This window comes from Homo sapiens, chromosome 5 (genome assembly GCF_000001405.40).
Source record: "Homo sapiens chromosome 5, GRCh38.p14 Primary Assembly".
In the NCBI taxonomy this organism is placed as follows: domain Eukaryota; kingdom Metazoa; phylum Chordata; class Mammalia; order Primates; family Hominidae; genus Homo; species Homo sapiens.
In genome coordinates, this window is record NC_000005.10 from 103,939,123 (window position 1) to 103,952,832 (window position 13,710).

General features: G+C 31.5%; 1 long non-coding RNA gene across 1 annotated transcript in view; it reads left to right on the forward strand.

Annotated features, from left to right (window-relative positions):
* Nucleotides 1-7,199, forward strand: part of LOC105379107 (uncharacterized) — a 339,090-nt gene extending 331,891 nt beyond the window's left edge. Inside the window, exon 4 of the long non-coding RNA XR_001742833.2 lies at nucleotides 7,158-7,199. This is a non-coding gene — a long non-coding RNA (uncharacterized LOC105379107). The remainder of the gene's footprint in view (nucleotides 1-7,157) is intronic.
* The last annotated feature ends 6,511 nt before the right edge of the window (nucleotides 7,200-13,710 follow it).

Genomic DNA, 13,710 nt, shown 5'->3' on the forward strand with positions numbered 1-13,710 from the left:
AATATGGGACCTAATTTGAATTCGGAGTCCAAACAGAACTCACTGTCTGCCTATGTTGGAAAGTGTGTTTTATACCTGCCGGTACCAATATTGTTTTAGTAACCGAGGAAAGAACAGAGCATTGACTGACATCAGAATAATCTGTGTCGACCATAAGCATTAATCTTATTTAGAAAGTCAAGCTGAACTTTGTCAAACAAGAAAGGTTTAGGAAAAAAAAGTTTACTTTAAGCCTATACAGAAGTATCAAAACACAGAGGTTCATCTTAGAATTTCTCCCACTGAGGCAGCAGATATGGCCATTCATAACAAAGACCTTGTCTTTTGTTCTTTCTGATATTATTCCACATTGAGATAAACATGTGATAGGTGAGCTTTTCACAGGAAAACTGGGAGATCTACTCATGCTACCCTGCGTGGAAATGATTTTTTTAATTATATGAAACAGTAAGTTGAAGGTAATATTTATAAATAAAAATCTCTAAATATTTAGAGATGATTTAGAGATATTATCTCCAACTTCGTAAGCATTTCAAGTAACTTTAAATTTTAATTGAATTTCACTGAATTACTAAATCTAGAAATAATTCTAAGGAGATATTGACCAAAACTAGACGTAGTCTGGCTCTGTCACCCAGGCTGGAGTGCCGTGGCATGATCTTGGCTCACTGCAACCTCCGCCTCCCGGGTTCAAGCAATTCTCTGCCTCAGCCTGCCGAGTAGCTGGGATTACAGGCACCCGCCGCCACGCCCAGCTAATTTTTTTTGTATTTTCAGTAGAGACGGGGTTTCACCATCTTGGCCAGGCTGGTCTTGAACTCCTGACCTCGTGATCCACTCGCCTCGACCTCCCAAAGTGCTGGGATTACAGGCGTGAGCCACCATGCCTAGCCTCCTCTTTTCTTTTCTAAAGGTCTGTAAGTGAAGGCTGTGAGTTTGAGGACTTCTCTGTAGTATAATGGTTGGCAGAAAATCAAGCTTTGGTGCTTGGAACCTAAATACAAATTTTCTGGTATTAAGAATACTTTATTTTTAAAACTTTTACCAACTGCTATAGTAAACTGATATTTGTATCCATGTAAATAAACATATATAAACATACAAATATACATAAATAATTCTATTGTTTTATAAATATAACAATTTCGCTGTTATATAAATATATGAACATAAACATGTTTATTTACACAGATAAAAATAGTTTACTCTATATAGTTTATATATATAAAAACTATAAACTGATGTGTATCAGTTTGCTATATATTAGTATTTACATGTGTATAAATATTGGTTTATCATAGCACTTGTGTGTGTGTATCTATCTACTTGTTGTTTCCTTGTCTTTATACATTTTTCAAATGTGGAAAGAGAAGGATAAGAGAAAGCATATAGTAGCAGGCAAATAAAGGCTAAAATTCTTAGTATTCTTAGTATTTAAGTTTTAATAAATTAATAACTAACCTGCCTTTCAGCTTTAACACCCTGCTGTGAACAAAGCTAAAATCTATATTTGAATGTTTGCCCTAGTTGTATTTCGCTTGGGTAGAGGGGTGTGATTGCTAAGCATTGCCCTAAAAGGCTTAGAAATTTCTGATGCTAGTCTCATATTGTGTCTATTTAACCAAACTTTTTGTGTCTTGACCTTAACAAATAAAGAATACAAGGTATTAATATGGTTCAAGATGGATGTTGTATATGTGAGAATTCATAATACTAATTTCTATATTTGTATCCACATTTGAAAACATCAATAATGCAATATTAAAAGAAGCAACATGGCCAAGAAATATTGATGGATAAAAGAATAAGATGAAACTGAAACTCAAACATGACATCTCGCTCTATTGACATAAAAATATACCCCAATATATAAACCCTTTCCTCAGAGTATATCCTTCTTATCATTCCCTTTCAACCCAGAAACTTTTTCCAAACAAATAGAGTTCAATTTTTCCCACCACTAAATACTTTGGTAATATTAGAATTGAGAGATTTTGGCAACTGTCAAGAATTTTGCTCTTTCAAAGAGTATTCACTCTCGCCTTGTCAATTTCAGCATGGGAATGCTGTTTTTCTCAGGCTTTTATATAATATGGTTTTATGTGTGTATACAAGTGACTTTTTAATGTTAGAGTATCAGAATTCTATTAAAATAGTTCTATTCTGGCTCTAAAAGATCTTGGATGAATTAACATGGGGATCATTTATGTAGGCAATATTCATTATTCTTATTTAGAAAGTCGTATTTGCTGATGGCCATGAAAGGGTTTTATTTTGATTCTGAATTTTCAGTTGGCAACTAAATCAAAAACCCATTTTCAATAACTGCTAGTAAATAGCTCACATATTTCTATGCTTCATTTTCTTCAGTTTACCTATAAAGTTTAAGTGTGATAAAGCTGCAGAATAATCTCTTGCAAAGGGCATCAGGAGACACCTAGTTTATATTTTCTTATCATCACCTCACGTTTCTCACTAAATACAGCATTGTCTTTATCTTCTAATCTCTAGTCGTAAACTCCTTCATTAAAACCTGAGGGGAATTGTACTAGTAAACATGATGAATTGAGAAGTGTCTTTGAAAGCTGTAGTCTAGTGAATAACTCCAGCAGCAGGCGAATACTTTGTAATAAATTTGAAAATACTTTAACTGTGGAACATACTACCATCTGCTTTCAGTGTTTTTTTAAGGTTTGGAATCTATAAGGTTTTAAAATAGAAAAGAAGAATGTCACAGAAAAAAAATTTTGGCAGTCCCAGTGGTAATCCCTGTACTACGTTTAGTGCCACATGTCGAAAGACACTAATGCCAAACTGCCTATTGTGGCAAGATGTACATTTTTCCTATTTGTTGGAGTCCCCCTTAGAATTAATACTATTTTTTCTTTATCAGAATAGGGAACAGATCCAATTTACTAAAATATAGAATGAAGTTGAAACAGTAATATGTTTTGAAGATATGAACTAGCTAGTTCAATATTTCTTGATGAACACATTGGTAAATTGATTCACAAGCCTAATTACCCTGCCGTTTAAGATCTTTCAACATATAGCGATTCTGGACCAAGAAGCGAGTGGCCATTTTTCATATCAAACACAATATAGTGACATTAATTTTGCTCTCTCTCCATCAGCGCATTAATTCTGTCAGATCTGGTATTAAGGCTTGTAAATAGAAGCCTCAGAATTTTCGGTAAAAAATAGGTAATCTAAAAAACACACTATAAATTACATCTCAATTTTGGGTTAAAGGCAAAATGCCTAGAAAACTCTTAAGCAAAATTTAAAAAATTGATTATGCTCTTGAAAATAATTTTTATTATTCAAGGAAAATATCTTCTTATAAATTCTAAATTTTGGCACTGATCTCTGGGAAAAATGTAAGAAACAATTTGAAGAAAACCAGAATAATCATTTTCACATAATTTTCTAACAAATATACAGAGAGGGATAACAGCAACTTTAGACCAAACAGGATACCAAAATCTAAAACTATCAAATAAGAACATCCTACGACGTCAAAGTAATGTATACCTAATTGTTTTAAGTTAAAATAATACTTAGCATCTTTTAGAATTCTCAATCTTGGGAGACAGACATGTTCAGGTTTGTAATATTCATTGTATGATATTTCTACACACCACTAGAGGCCACACAACTCCAAAAATGAATGAATAATTACATGGCCTGCTAATCAAAGCCCGAAAGAAAATAGAAAGCTAAGTGGAAAGATTTACCATTGTCTGTATAGCAAGACTTTATATCACGGGCCTTTCCCTGGAAGAGTTTAGATTGCCCTTGTGAAGCCACTAGAACTTGTAGACTTTTTACTGCCCTCTCTATTTGCAGCATATTCTTATTCTACCACCAGAATATATGAGATGTGTTTGCGTGCACAGCACATGAACAATGGAAAGAAATATACCTCTGAACCTTCTCAATATTCTAATAGAAAGTCATTAGAAAAAAATGTACATACAGTCATATAATTTAGAATGCTAAACATTTGCTTTCTTTCCTGTTAGAAATTTTAAATAACAACGTTTACTTTTGTAACAAAAATATGACATTCTCTGTGTCAAACTTTACATTATATCACACACAATTTTATAATAATTTGATAAACATCCATGGAAATGAGCTGCCTTCTTCCTCTACAAGCCCTTCGCCTCCCAGATGATCTAAGAATTAAGCGTGGGAATATGTGTTTCATTGCCAGTAAACAGACCAGTCTTCTGGATCTCTTCTTATGTCCTAAGTAAAATTAGATGTAGCATTTTCAGCCTGGTTTCTAAACGCTTTGTCTGCCAGCCGGCAGCTTGTCACTTTGAGCAGACTTAACCAATTCGTTTATTTCTCTGGTTCTTAGCTAGATTTGAATCAGGTGACGCTTTAATACCATCTCAGCAAAAATGTAAACTGTGACCTCTATGATGAGTAAGTATTGTCTGGGCTCTGGAAATTTATTTTGTGAAAAACTGGTAGCACCTGTGCTACGTTTTATGGAAGACATAATAATGTTAACTCGCATTTCACTAAGTGCCTTTACTCTGGGAACCTCTGACTGTTTTCCTGATGAAGAAGCGCAATTTTCCTTCTTTTTTACCTAGAGACAGTGTAAGACAGACAAGTTAAATGGCATTGTGATAGCAAACTAATATCTAAGGTAAAAGGTCCCAAGATTTTTAAACTATAACCTTTTACATTGACAATTCATAAAAGATGCTATTTCAGAATTAATAGATCAAAGTTCTAACGGCTTTCTCTAATATTCAGAACAATGTAGAGATTGCTCAGGGGATACAAAAATATCTAAAGGACAGTTCTTCCTTCCAAAAAGCTAACAATCTAGATATAAACCTAAAAATACATCTTCAATAACAATCCGACTACATCTGTTTGCAGTAATATATCAGAAAGAGTTAAAATACAAGGCTGGTCAAGGATATGAGGTTATCACCAGAAAAATAAGAAAACAGAGTGAATTCTTCTTAAAGAATAATTCAAAGCATATAATATTAAACCAAAAAAGAAATGTTTATCTTATATCATAGAAGTGAATACAATCTTCAATGAAGCTGAAAAATTATTACTATTTTTTCTTGAAACAAGATAGCTTCATGACAAATAAAAATGTTGCAAACAATAAAACATAGATAGAGTTTGGTGGGATTCTTTAAAGCATCATCAATATTTTAAAAATCAAAGGAGTTTAAAAAGAGGTATATTGATTATTTTTGTCATATAAATAATTTTAATGTAAGTATGTTTATATGTGTCTATACAAAGCCATCAAATATATCTATATTATATTTATAGAAAAAATCTATCACCAAAAAATGGTAGAGAAAATAATCAATAAATCCCAAAATGTAGATCTTTGTTTCAATAATATTAAAAAATAACTGTAAATTAATAAAAGCTTTAAATAATGCTAACCGTTAGTATTCACAAAAATTACCATGCAGAATAACCCTTACATGAAGATTTATATAACTTGAGAGATATTTAATGTTCATGCATAGACATACTTAATATTTTAAATGTGTCAAACTTCCTAAATCTAGATACAAACTACCTCAAACAAGCTTCTTGAAACAATAAACTGTTCCTAAAATGTACATGGAAGTGCAAAGGATCAAAAACATGAACCCTCTCCAGAAAAAGAAAAGAGGGAAGAAAAGTACATAAGAAGCCTTTTATAAAACCAAAATATTAAGACTGTGTTGGGGTCATTCAGAGATAGGCAATTACCAATAGAAGAGAATAGATAATCACAAAAAAGACCCCATACTTATGAGGAACTTTGCTTTATGACAGATATGGCATGGCAGGTTTTGGGGCAAAGAAGTGACTATCCATAAGAAGAGTTGGAAAATGTGGATTTCATTAACTAGAAACAAGGCAGCAACCATACATAAAAGATTGACAAATTTGACTGTATAAAAATTAAGAACTTTAGGTCATGAAAATGCATTTCAGAGAAAATGAAAAGACAAAACACAAACTGACATAAAATAGTTGCAACATACGTAGACAACAAAGCATTCATTTCAAAATATATGAGGACTCTTATGGAACCATCAGAAAACAAGTAAAAAGAATAGAAATAATATTCGGACATAATCAGGTATTTTGTAAGAAAAGTAATACAAATGGCCAATAAAGAGATGAAGATGTGCTGAACTCATTAGTAAGAATAAAAGTATAATTCAAGATAACTATGAGATACTATTTCAGTCCCATTTAAAAGGCAGAAATTAAATCTGACTATACTGAATTTTACAGATGATGTGGATCACAGAGGTCAATTATTCTGGCAGGAGCATAAATTGGAACAATCAGTATGGAAAACAATTTCGCATTGTCTTGTAAAAATGAGCTTTTGCTTCCCCTATAACCCTAATAGTTTCCTAAGTATCCAAGAGTAACTCTTTCAGAAGTCTACAAGGAGCATGTACAATTAAAGTTCAGAAAAGTATTTTTTTGAAGAGACAAAACTTAAAACATCATGAATCCCAAGAATATGATAAATACATTGCATTACAATTATACAATAGAATATGCATCAAGAAACATAATAAATGAATTATAGTTATGTGTAATATCATAGGCAATCTTATTATGATAGTATTGGATGGAAGGTCACATGCAGTATGATCACCTTTATATAAAATTTGAAAATAGATAAAATGTAAAATATGTTGTTCAGTTGTATGTAAATAAATACACAAGTGCACACACACATATTGGGAGGAAGGGGAGTTGAATAGTAAAGGAGCACATAGAAGAAAATCTCACATAAGTTAAAGGTGATCATTTAATTCTCGTGTCACATGCTGAGTTGTCATATGTTCATTATATTATTTAAAAGTAAGTAAAATAAAAGAAAAGAAGGGCATTCATGGACTGATGACACTAATGTATTGTGACTTACGGATTTGATTAATTCAATCATATATGCCTTGGATCCTTGTATTTATTTATTTATTTGAGACGGATTCTCACTCTGTCGCCAGGCTGGAATGCAGTGGCCCAATCTCGGCTCGCTGCAAGCTCCGCCTCCTGGGTTCACGCCATTCTCCTGCCTCAGCCTCCCTAGTAGCTGGGACTACAGGGGCCCACCACTATGCCCAGCTAATTTTTTCTATTTTCAGTTTAGACGGGGTTTCACCGGTTAGCCAGGATGGTCTCGATCTCCTGATCTCGTGATCCGCCTGCCTCGGCCTCCCAAAGTGCTGAGATTACAGACATGAGCCACCACGCCCGGCCACCTTGGATCCTTTAAAAGTAATGTATGGTTTAAGGAGGAAATTTGGTTGAATACGTTTAAGGAAATATTAATCCAACCTGTTTAATAAACATTACCTGTGAACATTGCATTTTGAAACTGTTCAAATATACCAAATGATTCATATTAATTAGAACAAAAAGTCCAAAAAGAGAAAACTACAAATTCTATTACACTATTTAAAATAGCATACAAAAACAATTTTGAGCAAAATAATGTAAAAGTAGAAACTGATAAATTAAAAAATAGAAACGTAGAATTAATTCAATTTAATCCCTGTATCATTGGATACACACACAGACATCAAAGAGAGAGAGAACATGAAATATATTAGAACATTAGGTATGAGAAGAAGGTATATATCCAAAATTAAATATAAATTTAACTGCTATCTGGGTTATTATTTTAAAATCTCACTTAAATGAATCTATATCTGAGCAGATACAAATTATTTACATTTTTCTAAAGGGTTAACTGATAAATTCTCAAAACATTTCAACTATCAGAAAAATCATCATACTGTGTAAACAACTGCAGAAAACACAAAATAATAAATTCTCATGTTTTCAAACTAACAAAATTCTTCTCTTAATGATTTCCAAAACACATAAAAAGAAAATGACAGATCATTCCTAATATTTATTCAAATTTTTTAAAAAAATTAACGATATAATCCAGCAGTATGTTATAGAAATAATAAGTAAAATTAGTTCTAATATGACAAAGGTGATTTAATATTTGAGAATATGTAATATGAAGCAAGTCATTCCAAATGAAAATTTCGTAAACATAATTTTATTTTTGTAATGGCATTTTAGAAGATTTCAATTATTCTGTAATTAAAAATTTAGCTATTTTAGGGTAAGAGAGATTCCATGAATATAGTGAATAGTAAATAACCTACATCATTGTTCATTTTCATTCAAATTAATAATAAAATGACCTTACTTTCTTTGACCAGAAACATTCATAATTGTTCTGGCAATTCTGATCAGTGAATGATGAAACAGAATTAGAGTTCTGTTTCTAATTATTTCAAGGAAAAGGGTGAGGTTGAAGATATCCTATCTAAAACTTTATGTAATATATATAATATATATAGATGATATATAGATATCTATTATATCTAATGGATATACAGACATTACATAAGCCTTAAAGAGTCAGTCAATACTTGTTATTTATATAAGTTCAGTATTTTTTTGACTATAAATACTCAAAATAAATTATGTCATCAACCAAAGATGAAAAATAATTTCATTTACAATTGCTCCTCCAAAAAGTCACAAAAACGACATGGGAATAATTATAGAAAAAAACTAATAGTATAATAATAATAAATTACAAAAATTTTTAGATTTATCAATTAAATTTAAATGTATGGATAATCACAGTTTGACCCTAGATTTTAAAAAATCAATTCTTTCTAAACATTTTATTAGTTTATACAAAATAAATTAAAACTCCATGGTACTGATTTTGTCTCTTACCAAAATTTTTGCCAAGTTATCTGGAAAAATTAATTTCCAGGAATAATTATGAAAAAATAAAGTCCATTGCCCAAAATACTGTACTGAGGAAAAGATTATTTCTTATAAACAGTCATATTAAGTTTTTCTTCTCATCTTGTATCTCAAAATAAATTTCAGGTTGATTAAAGTATCAAAGTTATAAAATGAAAATATTAATGGAAAACTGAATAAAATACAGGTCAATATTGAACTGATTTGTGGATAGGAAATAAAATGAAATGATTGAAAATATAACACAAATTTAATATATTGCTAAATAAAAATAAATGGTACTGAAGAACATTACTAAAATTAAATGTAAATGAAGAACTAGGAACACTATAAGCAATGCAACTAAAAATTGGTATATTTAATCTAATCTATTAAAAGCATTCTAGTAACAGACCGTGGATGTGAGAAGACAACACAAGGAATATGACCAGAAAATAAAAATTAAACATATTTAATTTTAATTATAAATGCTATTAAAATCAAATTGATTTATTAACAGTAATTCACAAACATTCAGGAACGATAAAAATAATAATACTTAATAAGCTAAACAGGGAATTTCACTTTTAATAGAAGAGTAAATGAAGACAATCTCTCTGTAAAGCAATTCATTATCTTAAAATATTATTCTTTGAAATAGTAATTTTTAGAATCAGTTCCTAGAAATAATCAGTGACACACAGTTTTGTATATAGGATAAATATATTCATCACAATATGATTGACGGCAAAATAACTGAGAAACAAATGAAATGTGAACTATGATAATTGAATTATAGCCCTAAAATGAATACTAATCATTAAAATGACATTTTAAACTTTTCGGAAGAATCGTTTAATTATTTTATACAAACTAATATGTCAACATTATTTTAAGAAGCAAGGAAAAGAGTCAAATAAAATAACCAAAATATATCTCTGTCCGGAAATAGCACATTTGGAGAACATCATTATTGGTCTCTTAGTATATAGATTTATACAGATTCTTTGAGTTCATTATGTTTGAGAATATTTTTGTCTTGCTGTTATAAGTAAGCCAACAAAAGCTGTTTATAGTATTCTTGTGTTATAATATATTCTCCTTGGATCTACAGATAATTCGTTCACTTGTGTCTGCAATTTGTTACTAAAAAAATCTATGGCCAATATGACTAAGCCTACCTCTCATCTCCATGAGTGACTTGATATTTTCTGCATGGACCCTGAAGAATTTTTCATTTTTCAACTTCAATAGTATAATCGCAATATATTTTGATGTCTCTTATTCTACATCATTTTTTTAAAATGTATTGTACCATTTTAATATTGATACATACTTTTATTTAAAGGTTTGTTTCATTTGTTGGATTACCCACTTTTTCCCAGTGGAAGCCTTTTTTACATAAATACTATGATTTTTTCAGGCACGGCTAGTTGAACACAATGTTTCTAATTTAGTTTTTATTTTTATAAGTTTTGTATTGGTCCTTTTAACTATAAGCTCACTGTTTTTTCTTGATTGTGAGGCAAAGAGATATCCTTTTTTTTTTTTTTTTTTTCCTTTGTCCCTTGCACTGAGTTCTCTTTCAGATTAGGGTCTATGACATTTTTAAAAAAGTGACATGCATTTCCTTTATCTCTTTCTGTGGTATGCTTGCTAATTTCCCATGCATTTTCTTTTCATCTTGTTCATGAATATGGTTAGCTGTGCCAAAACCCTTGTTTTTTGTTGCATCCTGTGGATCAATTCTCCTTGACTCCCTAAGTGGTCTCTCTGAAAGCTATTTTCCTCCTCATCCAACTACCTTTGTGATTTGAGATACAGATTTTTTATTTCACTTTGAACAAAGAGTTTTGTGGCAACTATTGCCTGTATTGGGTATCCTGAGCACTGCTTAACTTTCGTTTATTTAATGTTATGAACCAGGGTTCTCTCTACTTAGGCAGTAGTATATCAGGATCCCTAGGCAGAAGACTCGGGGTCTTGAATCATTCCCTACAGTTCCTCTTGCAGCACTTGAAAATGGCTAGGAGCTTTTATTCTATAAGGTTTGAACCTCTGCTTTTCCTAGACTTCCTAGTAACTATGTTTATCCATTTGTTTTCAAATTTGATACTACTGAGAAGTTTGGAGATTTTCTTGACTCACATTCTTGCCCAAAATGACATCAAGGTGTTATGACATAAACATTGATGGAGTAGGTTTTTTGTTTTTTGTTTGTTTGTTTTTTTGTTTTTTGAGACAGAGTCTCGATCTGTCACCAGGCTGGAGTGCAGTGGTGTGATCTCGGCTCACTGCAACCTCCACCTCCCGGGTTCAAGCGATTCTTGTGCCTCAGCTTCCTGAGTAGCTGGGACTACAGGTGCCCGCCACCAAGCCCGGCTAATTTTTGTATTTTTATTAGAGACAGGGTTTCACCGTGTTAGCCAGGATGGTCTCGATCTTCTGACCTCGTGATCCGCCCGCCTCGGCCTTCCAAAGTGCTGGGATTACAGGCATGAGCCACTGCGCCTGGCTGCAGTAGGTTTTATTTCTTACCTTGGTCAAACTTTTTTTAAAGATTATGACATGAAATTTTACTTCTAACAACTTCTAGCTGTTGGAGATTTTTGCTTGGATGTTACTATTTTTTTCATTTTATCTAATGTTGAGGAAAGTAGATTTTATAATTCTGCTTTATTACCGAGAATTCTCCTTTTAAACTATACATTTTTGGGAAAAAAAGAGACAACCATATAAACATAAAATACCTATTTTCTAAAACAAATAAGTGTTTAAAAACAGAAATTTAAAAGAATGCATAATTTCTTTTGTTTAATTATTGTTTTTTGATTTCCCCTGTTTTTTGAAGTAATTCTTATGAATATTTGGAGTGTCTCAGAAAAAAAATGCTTATTTTGGAAATATGCAAAACATTCTCAATCATGAAAGAACTAAATTTAAAAAACAACATTGGTATTTTGCAGGATTTAATTACATTTTTTAAGTTAGCATGTAAAATGTCCAATTGGCAGAACCTTGTTTATGAAGTCTTTTAAATATATAATGTAAAGGAAGTTTAAACACAATAGTATGCAAACACGGGAACTTTTGAGGAACAAACAGAGGTTTAACTTCAAATGAGTATTTTAAAATAAAAATGTATTCAACGCTATATCTAGCACTCATTCCAATAGAAACCAATTCTAGGAAATCTCCCTTATTTCCTGAACCTGGGCACCTGAGGCTATTGGTGTGAGTCCTTTTCCTGCAGCAGGTGATGCCTTCAGCAACTGTGATGATCAGATTTCTGGTTTCCACAGACCAAACCTACTTTGAAATCAGCTTCAGGACTGATATAGTATTACCAACATTTGTCAAAGTTCCAACAATAAAACAAATGTAAATGTAGCCTCTTCTCATTAGATCCTAAAAAATAAGATTGTATACCAAACAACCCCCCTAAATATCTATAGGCTGTGAGACACAAAAGCTGATTTCCATAGTTTGTTCCCTTCTCTTAAAATTGTTTGAAACAGAACACTTTAGAGATCTTCCAAGAAATTTAGAGGGTTAAAGTTTCAGTTTTCAAAAGTGAAGTATTGGTTTAAGATTAAAATGATGCTAATCGTAAGTTTTGGAGTTGTGACTGCTGAAAAGCCAATAGTCTTCTCACAAACTATTGGATTATAGAAAAACCATAGTAGAAAACATGGGGCTGTGGAGCACATTGTTCTAATGTGAGGTATATTATATATAGCACAACCCTTTTCACATTAGGAGGTGAGATGTGTATATTTCACTTAATTGGAAACATCCTTTCCCCCTAGAAAAGGTGATTCATAAAGTCCTATTGGAGAGGGCACACTCACAATTCAAGATACAAAATGGACTCATGCAGTCACAAAACAATGAGGAACTGAACCTACTGCAGGCAAATCACTTCAATTCATTACAAAATGAAATTTAGGACTGGACTATTTCATTCTGGATTGCTTTTTGCAACCTCGTAATCTGTTTAATGGAAGTAATTTGTTAATAAAACAGTGGTAATGAAACAGAAGTATCTGTTTACAGCAGTTCCCTTATAGTTCTTGTGCTTATGCCTGCTTTCATTATTCATAGAGAAAGGTACACAATGTAGTCTGGTGTACATCAGTAATAGAAAACCACTTACAGGAGGATGGGAAAGGACATCATCAATAGAGTATAATGTCTGTATTTGGAATCATTATTGCCCTCTTTGGAGTGTTTTTTCACCCTTGAAGGCAATAGATCTTGAAGCAAGCTAAAAGCTACAATAAAAATATATTTTATCTTTAGACCTTTAAACAGTATCTCTTTGATCTAAATGGTCTCTCTGCTTCAGCAATTACCATTTAAGTTTTTCTCCTTTCTTCAGTTGGGAGCACATATATTCTAGTCTGAACCAATAATAAAATTCTAGAAACAAAGCGCTTTTTCAAAAATAGATGAACATTTTTTCCCTTTATCTGTGGAAGCTTATTTTTTTTCTGTTTAACCACATTTATTGATAACTGATTTGGGTTATTTCTGTAATCTGCACGAAATCTTTAGATCCCTTAATAAAAACAGGTAGAAGACAAACGATCATAATCCCCTCTAACTAAAATGACAATTTTTTAAAAGTTCATTGAAAAAATTAGTAAGATTTTTTGATAATGTATGAAAAAAATTTATATTACTTCAGTTCTGAATGAACGGATTCCTTTTTTTAGTTAGATTTAATAAATGAATTCCAAATAGATTCTTTAAAAAAGATATTTACTATGCAAAATATAATTTGTTGGGTAAACTTGCTGAATATGTGTTATAACAGAATAATATGAAAGAATATCTAAAGTGAAAACTTTCAACTACATTCTGAACAAAAATCCCTTTAAAATACAATTTGTTTTAATACCTTATAATATCATG